This window comes from Homo sapiens, chromosome 8 (genome assembly GCF_000001405.40).
Source record: "Homo sapiens chromosome 8, GRCh38.p14 Primary Assembly".
NCBI classification, from domain to species: Eukaryota; Metazoa; Chordata; class Mammalia; order Primates; family Hominidae; genus Homo; species Homo sapiens.
Genome location: NC_000008.11, coordinates 118,407,424 through 118,424,699, shown reverse-complemented (window position 1 = coordinate 118,424,699; position 17,276 = coordinate 118,407,424). Strand labels below are relative to the sequence as shown.

Below are 17,276 nucleotides of genomic sequence, written 5' to 3'. Positions count from 1 at the left end.
AGTAAAACACAACTATCTTCAAGAGATCTTGGCCAAGATCCTTTTAGGACACTACGTTTGATCCCCCATGTTCCCTGTTGAAATTCTTATTAGAGATATTTTTCAATTCCCATATTAACTGTAGGGTAATGTTACTCTTAAATGTTTAGAATACTCTTGGCAAGCTTCATATCTTTGATACCTATGAAAGATGAGAGAAAGATTGGACTGTGGTGACCTGCAATAGAATACATTCCATTCATTATTCACGGTGTGTGACCTTCGCCAAGTATGTTTAACCTCACTGAGCCTCAGTTTCCCTTTCCCTAAAATTAAATTATGATAATACGTATCTTATAAAGTTGGTATTGGCTATTATTATTGATCCGTAGTTGCAGGAACTCCACATCAAAGTTTGTGAGAAAGCACTTTGCAAGTGGTAAAGAATTATAAACATATATGTGTTACAGATATACATTTGTATGTAAAGAATTATATAAATGCGTAGATATACACATATACTTATGTGTGTAATTTTTGTTTTTTTATTGTTTAGAAGCATCTCACTAATCTAGTTAAGGCCCTAAAACCTAGCAATTAGTGATAATTTCTCCAGCCCATGAAAATTTTGCCTTGCCCAGTGTGTTTTTTAGTAATAATGATTATTTTAAATATCAACCCATTTCCTAAACATATACTTAGCATCGAATACTCCCAAGATATTTCTCTAGTAACTCAAGGTAGAAAGAATTCAGAAGATGTGATTCTCGCCCTTCCTTAAATTATCATCATGTTGGGGAAAACCATATATCTTAAAACATATTTATTGAGGGTTTATATGCCAGGCAATCGAGGAAGTATTTTTCGTATATTGTTTAATTTTATCTTCACAATAACCCTTTAAGGTTGGTATTATTATTAATATTATTATCATTTGACAAATGAGGAAAGTGAGTTTCCAAGACCTTAGATAGCTTTTCACATGTTATACAAGCCCAGAGGTGGCAAAAACAGTATTTTAACCCAGGGCTGTCTGAATCCAAAGCTCATGCTTTGACCTGTACACTCTGAGGGATAACATCTTATATGTGCAGGTAAGTGATATAAAAATAAGCATGGGGGTGGACATGCTTATAACCCTAATAAGACATGAGAAGGAACTCTTGTCTATAAGCCTGGTTGACTGGGAAGTCTGCTTAGAGAAGGCTGGATTGATGCTGTGTAGAATTTTAGAAGGTAAAGCCTCTCAAGATAAACGTTAAACTTCTAAAATCTCTGTGTGTATATATGTTGTTTGCCTCTCAGTGAATTTAAAAAGAAAATATAACGTCCTGTGAGCCATGGACTCACCACTTCAGGGCCTCAGACCCTGCCACTTCACCCCCTTGTGTGTTACCCGCCTGAGTCCCGAAGACATTTGGGTATCTATACCCTCAGGAGGGAAGAATAAAGGAGGTGAAAATGGATCAGAAGAATAGGTTGTGAGCTACATTACAGAATGCTTTGAGGGCCAGGCTAAGGAAATCAGATTTTTCCTCTCTTGGGTATCATTCAATACCCTTTAATGAGACGTGACATGTGACATCACGGCTCACTGCAGCCTCGATACCCTGGGCACAAGCCCCAGAGCCTCCACACACAGCCTCCCGAGTACCTGGGACTACAGGCGCACACTACCACACTTGGCCAAATTTTTTTGTATTTTTATTTGTAGAGGCAGGTTTTCACCGTGTTGCCCAGGCTGGTCGAGGAAAAAAAGATGTTCCCTTTCCCAAGGCCAGTGACCTAACTGTGGTCTTCTCCTTGCCTACCGTCCCTTGCTCCTCCCACACCACAGTTCTTTTCATCTGTTTCTCCTCTGGGTCTTCAGAATGTCTCCCTCCACTTTTGCATTTCAGTTTGAAGACATGCTGCATCCTGTATCCATCTCCTCTTCTCTCTTCTTACTGCCACTTTTCTGGTCTAAATTTTCACAGACAGAACCATTTAGTCTCTCTTCTTCCTATGATCCTGCCTCATGGCTCTCTAGGAAAGTATTCTCTTGTCTTTTTTAAACCGGACTGAACCAAACTGCTTCCTGCTTATTGAGAATTAATGCCTACTGAATAACGTCACAATTCCTAAGTTTGGCTTATGAGGTTTTTCGTCAGCTTCATTTTAACCATTACAACAATCCATCCTGTCCTGAAACCACAGCACATCACTCTCATTCTTGCCTCAGTATTAGCTTCGTGAACTTTTGGTCATTTTCAGGTGCTGACTGTAATTATTCCCCTCCTCCCTACCCTCTCTGGACCTCTCCAAGCAAAACTAATTTTTCCATTCTGTGTTTGCTTTACATTTTACACAATTAATAAATGACAGCTATTATTGTTAGTATTATAACATTTATCACGATATTAAAGTTATTTGGTTCCATGTTTATCTCCCTCCCACCAGCCCAGAAACTTCTCTAAGGTAGAAATTGTGTCTGATTTATCTTACTATCTCTAGCTGTGTTAACCCAGTGCCTGGCATAAAGTAGGCATTTAATAAGTGTTGATTGGATTAAATTGGGTTTGTTCTTCCTTTGATAGTCTTAGCACTGAACTAAAAGCCTTTCTTCATTTCTGTTGATAAGAATACTTTGATTAGTCTTTCAGTTTCCTGATTTTGCCTCCTTTTCATGAAGCTCATCCTATACTTCCCTATCTGCAACTTCTTACACTTACATTCCATTGATGTTCCAGTCGGTCTTCCTGTCTTGTTCTTGGAGAAACCCCATTTTACTTTTTTAAAGAACTCCTATTTTGGATCTGCACTAAGCCCCAGAATATCATCTTCAAGTGCGATTGAATGACAGTCTCCAAATTTTGTAGCATCCTGAGCCCCATGTTCCCTTCAGCAGTTCTTCCCAGGATGTTGTGGTAGACTGTGTCAGAACTTTGCTCAGTGCCAAGAGTGATTGTCGCAGTGCTGTGAAAGCTCACTGAGTCTGCTGAAATTTAAGTCAGGTGCTGTTTTGTAGGGTGGAAGCAAATATCCTTTATCTAAAAAGCTTCTATTTAGGGCAGCAGGAAAGAGGCCCTAATCTGTCACACCATAGGTGCATTGAATGCAGATTTCCCTGTGTTACACAAGTAACAAAGTGAAATACAAATACAGTGTTTTGTTTCATACACCCAAAGTGTCCACATTTGGATAGAACAATGCTATTAATAGATTTTGGTTTCCAGCCGTTTGTGGCAATTTAGCTAACCCTAAAACTACCTTGGTGACATTGATAGATACAAGCTCAGCAATTACAACTTAAACAAGAGCAATGAGAATAGTAAATGGCTAAAGTATGATTACATTGAGCCATATAAAATTGCCAATATTGAACAATTTTGACTAGCAAAAATGGCAGTTTCATTAGATTTGCCATGAAATCAGAATAATGCATTTTATTTAAAGGAAGTAGAAAATAAGTAGGAGCATAATATTTATTGAGCATCTACTATATGCCAAACACAGTGTTTAGCACCATTTATGTATTAAATCATTTAATTTTCATAAAATGTCTAAGATGTGTTATCCATCTCATTACACATGAGGAACCTGAGGTGTGAAAGTTATGACTTCCCTAAGCTCACACAACTAGTAAGGTAAAATAGGTAAGACCATATTAGGAGGATTCTTCTAAACTGGGTTTAGGCAAACTTTTTTTGTAAAGGACCAGATAGGAGAGCCATTTGGCTTTGTAGGTCGTAGGGTCTTTGTCACAACTGCTAAACTCCATGTTTGTAGTATATAAATGAAAGAAGTGGTTGTATTCCAATGAAACTTTATTTACAAAAACAGGTGGCAGGCCAGATTTAGCTCAGAGGGTCGTAGTTTGCCAACCCCTATTCTAATCTCTTCTTCCCTTTGCCCAAATCAAATCTGTTTCCTTAGTGATATTTATAAAAGAAATTTAGAATTCTTTTCTAAAAATGTGCTACTTTTTTTTCCTTTTTACATACTAAATGTAGGAAAATTAGAAACTGTACATACACAAAAAATAAAAAATATAAAATTCCCCTCTAATTCTTACATCCGGAAATAATCTCTTATGTAAACATTTTGACATCTATCCTTTCAGATAGTTTTCTCTATACGAATATTTATTTCTAAGAATGGCATCATACCTTAAAGGGGTGGCATAGTTCTCTCTCTTCCACTAAAAAATAAAATACATTGTGCATGAATTTCTGTGTCAGTGGTTGAATACAAAATATGTTATTTGACTGTTTGCAGTTATTCCCTGGATGCGGTATATGTGTCTGTTTTCCAGATACATTGTACATCTGGTCCCATGTGCTTCTCCATTCAACCCCTGTCCCCGCTTCTTTGGCTGGGTCCATGGCCCAGATTATTAGGTTGTACTGTGAATTCTTCTACCTCCTACCCTCCTATATATACACACACAAACACACACAGAGGCACATGCAAAACATAGCACCACAAACCTTCCATCTCCACATCAATTAGCCCTTAGTTGTAAGAGTCCCGATTTTCTTTCTCTAGCAATTTGTACCTTGATAGTTATCAGATTTCTTCACTTTTCCCATGATTGTGGCCAGTCACCAGAGTGAAAACAGACCTAGGTAAATGAGCAGCAGAAGAAATCATACGTCTCCAAGGCCCTGTCACTGTCCTCTGTAGATGCCACCCTTGAGGGCAGTGTAATTTCTTTGAAAGTTTTCTTTCTGTCAGCCTCTCTCTTCTCCAAGGTTCTTCCAAAAGAGAAGCTTGCACAGCTTTTCTGCAATTCATTAAATTTTCAGCATCTTTCCCCAGTGGTAGGTACACAGCAGGTAACATAGACAGGAGGACATTAGAATTCCTTCCAAGGGAGCAGTTTCAAAAGGTCACATGTTGCCACAGTGTCCTTCTATATAAATCTTTCAGGGGATGGTGAAGCATGTATCTAGTGGGGGAAGATAGGACTGCTGTAGTTATTCCATAAGGATCTTAACCTTAAAACTTCCACTTAGTAATACATTCACAGTGATGATCAGTTCAGCACATAGAAAAATGGGGACAAGATATACTTACCTTTGCAAAATGAGCTCCCACTAAGTTCAAGTAAAAGAATAGCCTCTCTCCCAACAAATGAAGAAAGCTACAGAGCAAAGGATGAAGTGATGGCTGGGGCTGAAAAACGGTACCACTGTAGAATATAAAAGGGAAGCCACTTAGTGTCTCTAAACAATTTCCTGAACATACTCAGTTAACTATTCTGAGGAAGTCCCCAGAATCTTACAGGTTTTGTTATCCACAAGAAATTTCCCACTGATATTTGTATCATACTTGAACTTTATAAAGTGATATTTCACACACATTTTCAAACCTCAGACCCCTGTTGATAGAATATTAGTGTGAAACTCTTTTCAAATGAGGAATCTAGAAGCTCAGAGATATTAAAAAACGACAAAAAAAAGAAAAATTGACCCAGACCCCATAGCCAGCAGATGGCAGTACTCAGCTCCTCTGACACCTAAGGCTTTTTTTTTTCTGCTTCCAGTTCAAGGACAATTCCTTCCATCATTTTTGCTTTGTCAATTAAATACTCAGCACATTCACAGTTGACTAGAATAGAGCCTTCTATGCTGTTAACATGCAAACTAGAGGGGAAGACTTTTGACACCAAGAATGAGATTGTCCTAGGAGAACCAGGAATCTAGAATGATGTAAATTATGTCAGGCATAGTCATTCCTTATTAATGTGGAAGATATTAATCACCAAGAGAAATTGTTACCTTTAATTAGAAATAGAAGAGAAAGGAAAATTATACAGTAATCCTTTTTTGAGATAATTAGCAAAATGTCAGGGACAGATGGACTAGAAACAATGGAAAAACATATGTTTTACTGATGTTTTTCTTTGATCATGTATTGGATGCTATAGTGGCAAAAACATTTCCTGGTTGGAAAAACTATCCTTGTCCTTTCTTCTGCTTTTTATTTAAGAAACTGGCTGACTTTTCTTTTTTTTTTTTGAGACGGAGTCTTGCTCTGTCACCCAGGCTGGAGTGCAGTGGCGCAATCTCGGCTCACTGCAAGCTCCACTTCCCGGGTTCATGCCATTCTCCTGCCTCAGCCTCCCGAGTAGCTGGGACCACAGGCGCCCGCCACCACGCTCTGCTAATTTTTTGTATTTTTAGTAGTAGAGACGGGGTTTCACCGAGTTAGACTAGCATGGTCTTGATCTCCTGACCTTGTGATCCACCCGCCTCGGCCTCCCAAAGTGCTGGGATTACAGGCGTGAGCCATGGCGCCTGGCCTGGCTTTTCTTTTGGGGAGCTTTTGCAGTCTATATCCCTTCTTCTTTATCACCTCTGGCTGCACACATTTGAGTTGGATGTTTTTAGTACATTTAAAAAGAAAGGCTAGGGAATAAATTGAATCTACAAACAGGTCTACTCTGTTTCTTGTAAAAGGCATCAGTAGAAAAGACTGCTGCATAAACCACTAAGGGTGAAACCAGGCCAGGCTCGGAAGGTAATCGATAGTATAATGCTTTGAAACTTCATAGTTTAAAAAGATAAATGTTACAAGTATGCATTCGTTTATTTGGACGCACTACCTCAATTTTACAAAAATCGTCCTATTCCACAGTAAACCACACAGACGGTAGGCACGAAGGAATAGGGATGAAGTTGATGATGGGCAGAAAGAATATAAAAAAAGAAAGAATGAGCCAACTGGAAGTCAGCTGTGCACCAGCCAAGAATATTCGATCAGGTCATACATCTGAAATGGGGCTCAAAGGCCTCATGTCCAAAACAATGGAGTTTTAATAGAAAACCAACCTCTCAAGTATGTTTTAACACTAAGATTCTAAATTGGGCATTTAGGAAATGAATATTAAAGAAATTGTTGTTAATGATAGATTATTATACAAGATGGCATGGTGAATTGCCCTGTTCAGTAATTTATCTAATTTTGTTTCAGTACCCATTTATATCTTACAGTGTTTGAAAATAATAACATTTCTTTCCATTGCATGTGTTCTGTGGTTTGGATCTTTAATTTTTAGGGGATTTTCTTTTTTTATTCTGGCCATGTGTTTACTTACTGAATATTTTATCATTATCTCTATTGAAGTTTAATTATTTACTGATTAGCTAAATAATTTGTAATTTATTATAAGTTGCTAATTTACAGATCATTCATTACCTACTAATTGTTCAATTATCTTTAAATTAGTGTTCATTAATTTACTCAATAAACATTTGCTGAGCTATTACTAGATGGCCAGCTCTATCTACTAGAATGGAAACACAAAGAAGCCTAAGAAGGAATTTGGGCTCCTTCTTTCAAAAAGCAACTCTTTCTGGGCACAGTGGCTCACAACTGTAATCCTAGCACTTTGGGAGGCCAAGGTGGGAGGATCACCTGAGACTGGGAGTTCAAGACCTCCCTGAGCAACATAATGAGACCCTGTCTCTACAAAATAATTTTTAAAAATTAACTTGGCATAGGGGGGCACACCTGTAGTCCTAGCTACCCCGGAGGATGAGGTGGAAGGATCACTTGAGCTTAGGAATTTGAGGTTACAGGGAGCTGTCATTGTACCAGTGCACTCCAGCAATAGATACTCTGTCTCAAAAAAAAAACCAAAAAACAAAAAACAAAACTATTCTTCTGGAAACAATAATCTTTAGCACAAACACATGTGTTCACTACATTTCTTCATTAACCTAGTTTCACTTAGCTCCATTTATAAAAATTAAAAACCGGGGTGATGTTCAGAAATTTTTATCTGCTGCATTTTTTTCCCCAAGTTTGCTCACATGGAAAAAAAAACCCTCTGGAATATCTGGAAACACTTTGAGAAACGAAAATGCAAAAAGTTAACTGAATCATCAAAATCAGATTATTGTAAAATCACAAATAACATATGGCAAATTACTCTTCAAATACATATAGATGCTAAGGATTGAAGGGGTGGAAGAAGAGAGTTGGATGAAAATACTGGAGGAAAACAAGCTTGGATGCACTGAATAAGGTTAAGTGGGGTTCAGGGATTATACTTGGGTTCCATTGTGCTGGTTATCGTGAGTAATACTGGTCAGGCTAATCAAGCCCAAATGAATGAAATTGTGTACCATTGGATGGTTTGATTTTCACGTAGGACAATTCCTTCTATCTGGAATTTTGACAGCTGCAATATTTATTTCAACTAGCAAAGTGTTATTTCAGATGAAACTAGTCTTTGTTATTTGATTCTGCTCAAGTTTAAAGATTTTCTTGATTCCACCTGACTCTCTAGGGCATGTTAGAGATATACTAAGTAAAAGTGTGCTGTTATGGATTATCCTTTGCCAGAATTTGGGTCATATGCCCTGAAAAAAAGAGTTGATGCCTGTTAGCCTAAATTCTTTCCCAGGTCCAATTAACTTATTGTAGTAATAGTTAATAATAATAACAATAGTTAATATGGTTAAGGATAACGTAATTATGAAGCTCATCACTTCATATAACATTTTCTCTGTTTTCCTCTACATCCAGCATTTATGTTATGCTATGATTTAGATGGGTGGTATATACTGCAAGATGCCTCCTTGATTCTACTTCAGTAGGAACTATTAAACTATTATTGGAACCCAGCTTCCCTAATCTGATAGAAAACCCTATTCTCCTTTTATAACACTGAGCACTGATGTCTGTTCTTCACTGTGCTGTGAGAAATGTCTCCAAACACTTTAAAGAAAAAAAAAGGGGGAAAGCCACGCTAGATAAATGAGAACATCAAAACAGTTTAGTTTAGACAATTTTAATGGAAGATCCATATGAGTCATCATCTGAGGCCTCAGGCTCTATTAGTCTGTTGAAACCCTCTCTTCAGTTTAGCACATAACAGGCAGATCCCAACCTGTGAGCTGCCACTTCTGCGTGTGGAATGTGCCCCGGAGGTTTGCTTATTTGACTTATGTGGGCAGATTAGATAGCTCACTCTTAAAACATACTTGGAAAAGAAGCCTGTTTATCCTAGAGGAGAATGGTTACTTAAGACCATAGACTACAAGGAAATCTCCTAATTCTTTCAAACCCTCAGTAAGAGTCAGCTGCATGGTATGCTCATCTTGAATAAACAGTAGAATCTCCAGATTCTCATGTAGTCAAATAAATCTTTTTCAATTAATTACACGCTTTTGTCAAGAAGTATCTTTTTCCCTTCATGTCATTTTTAGAATATAAAGCAACTGATTATTGGCAGTAGTCTACACACACACACACACACACACACACACACACACACACACCTTAGGACAAGGTTATTTATTTACTTTTTTTACACTGGCATTTTCTCCAGTTGGTTGAAGGAGGTAAGTCCTAACTACAACAGGGTTCGCATGGTGGTGTGGTTCATTATTTGTGTCTTATTTCATATTAGAGGTGCCAGTTGAATAAGAAAAGATCTTGGATGGAAGCAAAAAATACTTTTGTAAACTAATTTTTGGCAGAAATGTTTATGAAGACTTTGTTCCCTTTGCCTTTTCTTCTGAAGGACAGGAGCTGGTGATGGAACCTTTCAGTTGTGTTGTGCAGTTGTTTTGAACTCCTCTAGGGGGAGCTTTCACACAGGCTAAATGTAGGATACTCGCCCTGGAGGCATGACTTGGGATTTCAGTGGGTATCCCTTATCCACCCAGTTATTCCTGGGATAATTCTCCTTTTGATAGGCAAGCTTTACTGTTTTAATTGTCACGAGGAGGAGGTGACAGATGACTAATCACAATCTTTTGAAAAATTATATCAGTTTGTATGTGAATGTAAATTAATCAGCTTCAGTATTAAGTGTCCCACTCTGTGCAAAGGAATGTAAATTAATCAGCTTCAGTATTAAGTGTCCCACTCTGTGCAAAGGGAGGGGTCCTTCTGGTTAGTGTCGCCACTAGGTCAGGAGAACACCAGAAGCTGGGCTTTAGACTTGTACTTTTAATTAGAAAATTCTTTGCGGATAGGGTTATTCAAACCTATCTCATACTGCCGTACAAGCAATGCCAATTTTTTATGACTAATATGAAAGGGATTACTGCCATCCTTTACTAGGCTTCAGAAGATAATCCCTACCCCACCACCAAACTCTTCCCCTTCATCACAAGTCTATTACAATGATGGAATACATATTTAGCCTCATTTTAAATTTCTGGATATAAGGACTGGCTAAATCCTACTCAAAATGAAGAGGAAAGATAAATTAATACATGTGCTTACCTTTCCTTGAAAGTAAAATTAAAGTAGATTGGGTATAAAGAAAACTATCTTTTTTTCTCAACAGATGTTAAAAGATTATTTCCTATTTCTCCTTTTTTAAAAAAAAATTAGATGTGGTACATTGTCACTAAAATGTGATTTTTGGCAGGTGACTGCTCTAATTCAGCTTCCCCATTATCCATGGAAGGAAAGATGAGACAAAAAGATGCAGAGTAACACTTGTTATGGTTCTTGGAAATACAATGCCCTTTCATAAGAAATACAATTATTTAAAGGAAAATGATTCTTCTTTTTCAAATGTCTAAATACAGTGGGAGGATTTCTGTGGAATATAAATATTTGCTAACTCTTTATATACGCATGCGTTAACCAAACACCTGGTAAATATTGCAAAGTTTATTAATAACTTGCAAAATCTCCAAGTTGGGAAATACAGCTATGCCATTATGATCAGTCATTTGGCGGATAGTCAAGCCTGACAGCAATTGTTTAATACCTTTTTACCCATAAACACTGTGATTCACTGAAAATATTCAAGATTTCAGCAGATTTTCCTCCCACCCCCGACCCTGCACCAAATTGCTCAATTATCTTTCATAATGGGTTCTATTATCTTTCAAATTTGAAGTAATAGAAATGACTATAAGCAATGTTATAAAATGTGTATTTCGTTGACTCCCCCTGTCTAAGATCCTTTCAAGAGCTATAGCTTCTTCTTTGCCTTCTTCCTATATTTACTGAACACCTATTACGTGCTTTAAACTGGGCTACATGCCATAGAGCCTGGGATGAAGGGTGAGAAGTAGTATGACACAAGACACTTGTCTTCAGGGATCTCAAAATATAGGTAGGGAGAAATGAAACCCAAAAGTAAGTTAAATAGATCTCAAAGCAATCTACAGTTAATTGTCAAGAGAATTATATATGAAATGAATTCTATAAGAATCCAGAGATAAGACCATTGTGGATGCAGTGCTCTAGGCTGATTCTAAGGTTGCAGAATTTAAGCTAGGCCATTAAGGCTATGTAGGATTAGGAAAGGCAGAAAGAAGGTAAAGGACATTCTGGAAGGAAAAGGCAGCCTAAGATAAAATAGCAGATTAAATATGCCAAGTGTATTAGAGACAGTCCACACAACTCTATGATTAGAAACACAGTGTTTTTATGAGGAAAGCACCTTGCAATAAAAATCTTTATTGTACTGTCTATTGCTACTGAAATGGTACATAACACACACCCTCCAAAATGAGTGGCTTAAAACAATAAATAATTAATTAGCTCACAAGTTTGTCTCCTGGTGATTTAGGCTACATTTGCTGAGTGGACCTTCTGGTCTTGGCTGGGCTCCGTCACTTGTCTGTGAGGCAGCTGGCTGTTGACTTATGTAGGACAGACTCTACCAGTATGTTGGGAACAATTGGGGTCCTCTGCTTTGCTTCTTGCCCTCCAGCAGACCGGCCCAGGTATACCTTCTCATAGCAATGGTGTGGAGGTGCCAGAGAAGAGAATCCCAATCTTGCGTGTCCTTTTCAAGCCTCTACTTGTGTCACATTTGCTAGCATTCCATTGGCCAAAGCATGTCACATAGCTAGGGCCCCAGTACCACCCCACTGCCAAGCATATTCTGTACATCCATAGTGAACTGTTTCAGCTACCTATTGCTGCAAAACAAAATGCTCCAAAACTTAGTAGCTTAAAATGACAACCATTTTATTATATTTCCTACATTCTGTGAGTTAAGATTTCAGGAAGGATTTGGCTGAGGAATTTACTCATCCTAATGATATCAGTGGTACCTCAGCTGGTAGGTGGACTGCCCTAGAAGGTCCAAGACAGCATCCAGAGTAAAATTAGACAGGAACTGCATGGCCTTTTCTGACCTAGTCTGGGAATGTATGCAGTAACCTTTGCTATACTCCATATGTTAGAGCAGACACAAATCCTCCATGCTCCCGACTTCCAGGAGAAAGGACACAGACACCACTTTTCTATAGAAGGAATATAAAAGAATTTTCAGACGTCTTCAAATCATTGCTCAAGCAACGAACTGTTTCTATTTTATGTATAAGTTATTCTTAGCTCCTCGGAAGACCCTCCCACCCCAAGACTCATCTCATTACTGTATCAAGCTCAGACACAAGGTCCAGGCTTGTTATCTAAATCAGGTACTGGTTGAGATGAAATTTCCAATAAGATGCCATTCCTTAGGTATAGTTCCTCTCAATCTGAATATCAGTGAACTATCTGTCCTCCAACATAAAATGAAGGAATAGGCATAGGTTAACCACAAAAGACACAGGTCTGTGTTAATTCTGAAACCTCGCCAGGCCCAGGCTACCAGCTATGATCACGGCCCATTACTGCTTCCTGGGAATGATTCTCTGTGTTTCTTGGCTTTACCCTCTAGGTGAGGGCTAGTAAACTTTTTCTATGAAGTGCTAGATAGTAAATGTTTAGGCTTTGTTTGCCACATATGGTCTTTGTTGAAATTTATTCTTTTTAAAACAATCCTTTAAAAATATATAAAATCCTTAGATCACTGGACATACACAACCAGGACACTGCCCAAATTTGGCCCATAGGCTGTAGTTGACCAACTCTTGTTGTAGACTTGTTGTTATACCATTTGAGTCATTTTTCCTTTTTCACAAGAAATAGCCTCTGTTTATAGCTGAGTAATTGTCACACAGTGTTTTTAGCCCTCCCCGTAGAATTTCAGGAGTTCAAAGCCCTCTTTTATACTGTATCTAACCCTTTTAGTCCAAGCTGTCAGTATACTCTTTCAATACAGTTCTCTTTAAAACTTAGTGGATTTTCCAGGAATCTTATTGGAATTCACTCTATTAGACAAAGAAACATGCATAAAAATCTTCAAAACTCCTTTAACTATTGTGGGTCCCCTGTGAGACTGCTTTGGGACAATGCCCTTAAGATTTTTCAAAGCCCTACTTTTAAAACATAATTTATAAGTCACACTCTTTTAAATCCCTGTGATGCTTTTATTTTTACTAGAATGATCAATGACATACTCCCTTAAATCTTCTGACATGTTAAAAAGTAGTTTCATCGTCATACCCTGAGTCCACACTCACTGTGACCCTACATCATTCTCACAGCATCCTGGACTTGATCTTCTTGCCCTTAATTAAAACCTTTGTTACTTTGATGATGTTTGCTGGGAAGCAGTGGAGTTAAGAAGTAGTTTTATTTTTGAACTAAGCAAGGAGTAAATGCCTCCTTTATTTCTTTCTCTAAATTGTGCTTGAAAATTGCAAATTTCCTTTTTTAACTCATCTGTCTTTTCCTGTAACGTACAAAACACAGTTCAAAGAAACTTTTGATATTCTTCTGGAAATGTACTTAGATTCTTCAAATCATTAGCACATTTTATGTTTTCTAAAATACTATACTCAACAGTGTTTCTAAAATGTCTACCACTTATAAGTCTTCTTTCCTCTAGCCTCCAATAATACTTTTCTTACTTACTGATGACATTTTCCTCACTTTTCTCACTGAAAGATTCCTCAAGTTTTTCTCATCTTTTACCCACTGCCTCATGTCGAAGTTAATGCCACCTGTTTAGGTTTTAGTTTATTAACACATCACTTCTGATAACAAATTCTGTCAAAGTTATTTATTGCTATATAACAAAGAACCCCAAAATGTTGTAGCCTTGAAAAGGAGCCATATTTTCATATTGCAGAGATTTTTATCAGTAAGGAACTTCAGATAGGCTCTGCTGAGTGATTCTTCTGAACCTTGTAATGTTAACTGAAGCCATTCTCGGGTATTCACCTGGCCGACAGACTAAAGCCTCACTTAGCTATATGGCTCAGAAGATTTGACTTAGCCAGAAACATTTACCTGCACATGGCCTTTCACACATGACTGTCTCAGGATAATTGAGCTTCTTCTGTAGTGGGTATCTTCCTCCTAACATAGCAAACACCCACAACTACCAGGAAGATGGTGATTGGCTTTTGTGGACAGCAAAGTCTAATAGTTAAAACACAAACCCACTCAGATCCAAGAAGCAGGAGATATCGTCCCTAACTCTTGATGAGAGAAATGTCAAAGTATTCAGGTCTGTGTTTTAAAACCACTGTATGGACCATTAATGCAAGTAATATTCCATATGAGAAATTTTTCATAGCCTTGGAAAAATATCTGGACTTGAGCTTAGACTGACCCTACTCCTTTGTAGTCAGTGAGAAATAGGACAACTCTCTCCCTTTCAACCTTCATTTTCTACAGTCTCTTTCATGCATTTTCATTTGTTTATCACACATCCCAGTGTGTAAACAGTTTTGAACATGTACCCTTAATATGTGTAAATAGCCTTAGATATACTCTTTATCAATAAATAACCTCATTATTATGTTCATGGAAAAACATTTCTAAATAGAAAAATAAATGGATCTTGAAAGACAAAATATTCTTAAATATCTTGCAAATTGTGATGTCTTCATATTATTGCTAGCTAACTTTTTAAGCCAAAAAGATATACGTGTACTTTATGATGACATTCATAGTTAACAATGGTGGATAAAATAAACATATAAATTAGTCTTTCTTGATAATTTTGAATGCAGAGGCCATCTTCTTAAAGAGTGGAACATTATTGTTGCTTTTACATGATTAGTGCAGCTAATTAAATGTTTTACTTTGGAGTGAAATGTGCCAGCTTCATTATCTTACTGGTTTTCAAGAACTATTTTAACTTTGAGTCTATTTTATGTGAGCCAATTTAGTCAAAACTAGATATTATAAGCCATTTAGCCAGGTACATGTAAGTAGTACATCCCAGTACTGATCAGGAGCCAGTGAGTGTGGCCAACACTGCCTTCACCTTAAGCCTGTGGATTTATCACCTCTCTTGGGAATACTTTATACATCCTGACCTTCCAACTAATCTTATTTCTTTAGATAAAAAGTAAATAAATTTTAATATACAGTCTATTTCCTTGTCATATCCTAATGAATCATCTGGCACTCCCACCCCCCACCCCCAACTCCAGGGTACAAATATACACCATAATGAAAGCGGTGAAGCAGTTGACATAGGGGACATTCAATAAACATATATTGGGCTAATAAATCCTTAAAAACCAGAATGACACAAGTAGGTACTCAGTATTTGCTGAATGAACAATGAAATTGCTCCATCTGTAGCAAAAAGAAAATTGTAGAAACACAGTTGTTCTCAAAAACTCATCTCGTCAATGATCTAGTCAAAACATTGTGGAAGATTAGGACTTATTTTCCTATAAATTGCATTCCCACTGGAGGCTAATTTGAAAAATTAACTTTCTGTATCAGTGAAGATTAACAGTTTTTCCTCCCCTCCACACCCTTCCCATTTGTAACTTCATCTTGATTTCTTGGATATTACATTTCATAACAGCCCCATAAATAATTGAATTTTTTCTTAGCCGGGCATGGTGGCATGCACCTGTAGTCCCAGCAACTCGGGAGGCTGAGACTGGAGAATTGCTTGAACCCGGGAGGTGGAGGTTGGAGTGGGCCGAGAGTGCACCACTGCACTCCAACCTGGGCGACAGAGTGGGACTCTGTCTCAAACAAACAAAATTAATTTTTTCAATAATTAGCTAAGTTGAGTTAGCAGGATTAATATCTTCTTTGCTCTTTTTAGTAGGAGAGCTAAGGCAAAGTGAGCTAAAGGCCACATAGAGAAGACAAAACTACCCTGGGATTAAATTTAAAAATTCTGACGCAGAGGCTTTTCCTATGTTCCTTTGAGCCACTATGGCCTTTTGATCTTTGTTTGAAGTAAAATAATTCTTGATGGTTAACTGAGTGGATTGTTTTTTAAATTAGCAAATAATGGAGCTTTTAAAACTAAAAGCAGTTAGTATTTATTAAGAATGATGTTTTATGGAATAGAGTTGCTAAAACAAAACAGCTTGTTAAGTTGGAAGAACCAAGATAGCAGACTACCTTGCTTCTTCCAGAATCCTTATTAAGAAGGTGAAAACTTGACTATTCTGTCCACCTCCGACCCAAAGCAGAACACTTCTCTCTGAAAGCGATGGCAGGTAGTGGTTAGATATGGAGGCTGATGATCCTGTAGAATTTGGAATAAAGTTGCAGAGTGGGGAAGACACTCACAAAGAACTGCTGAGCGGGTTTGACGTCTAGGTGAGGATAGAGACCATGACTTAACTTGTACTGGCAACAGTCTGCACACTATTGAAATTTCTCTCCAGTGGTGTGTAGATTGAGAAAGCAGATGGTGTAGTCTTTGACATTTATCTGGTCTTTTGTAGCATGTATACAAGGGGCACTGAGTTTGAGGATACTTATCAAGGGAGTCTGGTATGGAGTTAAGTGTAGGACTGGAGTGAAAAAGTGAACTCGGGAGGAAGTGTATAAACTTGGGTAAAGAGGAGGTACAGGGAACTTGAGTGTGTATACAGTGAAAGGACAGGATTAGCTGGAGTGAGAACAGCTGGTCACATAGGAGGTTGTGATAAAGTTTCAACTTTAAGAGCTCGAATCATTCACAGTGAGAACGAAGTCCAGAGTATGGCTATGGGGGTGGGTAGTTGAAAAGGGTTAATAGTAAGATAGTAGGTTCATTTGTATGATAGAGAGTAGGATTGAGATTAAAATGAGTCTGTGATCCATGTTCCTCAGGGAATGTGAGTGACTAACTGAAAAGCTGTCAAATGAAAAAAGGGGCAAAGGTGCAATTGGAGGAAGGCATAACACCAAAGGGAAAGGATGTCTTTTATGATAATGGGTTGATAATAATCTGGAAGCAGCAATGGGAAACTGTCACCAAAAATCACCTGGGACCCACTTCACTGACTGTCTTTCCAAATGACATTTGTCAAAGAGGAGGAGATTCCTAGTTGGTTAGTTTAAAAATAAATAAATAAAGGCTGAGGCATTTGTCCATACATAGTTCTTCCTAGCTTAATGAATGCAAAAATAGGGCTAACCTCCTTCTTCTACCAACATTTTCCCCTCTGGGTTTACTTGATCATTGTGTGATTTATTTTCCTTAAGAATGCATAGTGTTACCTGCATATGAAAAGATGCTTAAT

General features: G+C 37.7%; 1 protein-coding gene and 1 long non-coding RNA gene across 14 annotated transcripts in view; one reads left to right on the top strand and one right to left on the bottom strand.

The window, feature by feature from the left end:
* SAMD12 (sterile alpha motif domain containing 12) overlaps window positions 1-17,276 on the top strand; it is a 490,139-nt gene that overhangs the window by 197,264 nt on the left and 275,599 nt on the right. The gene's annotated exons all lie outside the window — the stretch shown is intronic.
* The window catches only part of LOC105375724 (uncharacterized), a 141,651-nt gene continuing 126,041 nt past the window's right edge, over window positions 1,667-17,276 (bottom strand). For both annotated transcript variants that reach the window (XR_001746057.2, XR_001746062.2), the window contains 2 exons: window positions 5,038-5,152; window positions 1,667-4,909 (listed from right to left, as the gene is read on the bottom strand). This is a non-coding gene — a long non-coding RNA (uncharacterized LOC105375724). The remainder of the gene's footprint in view (window positions 4,910-5,037; window positions 5,153-17,276) is intronic.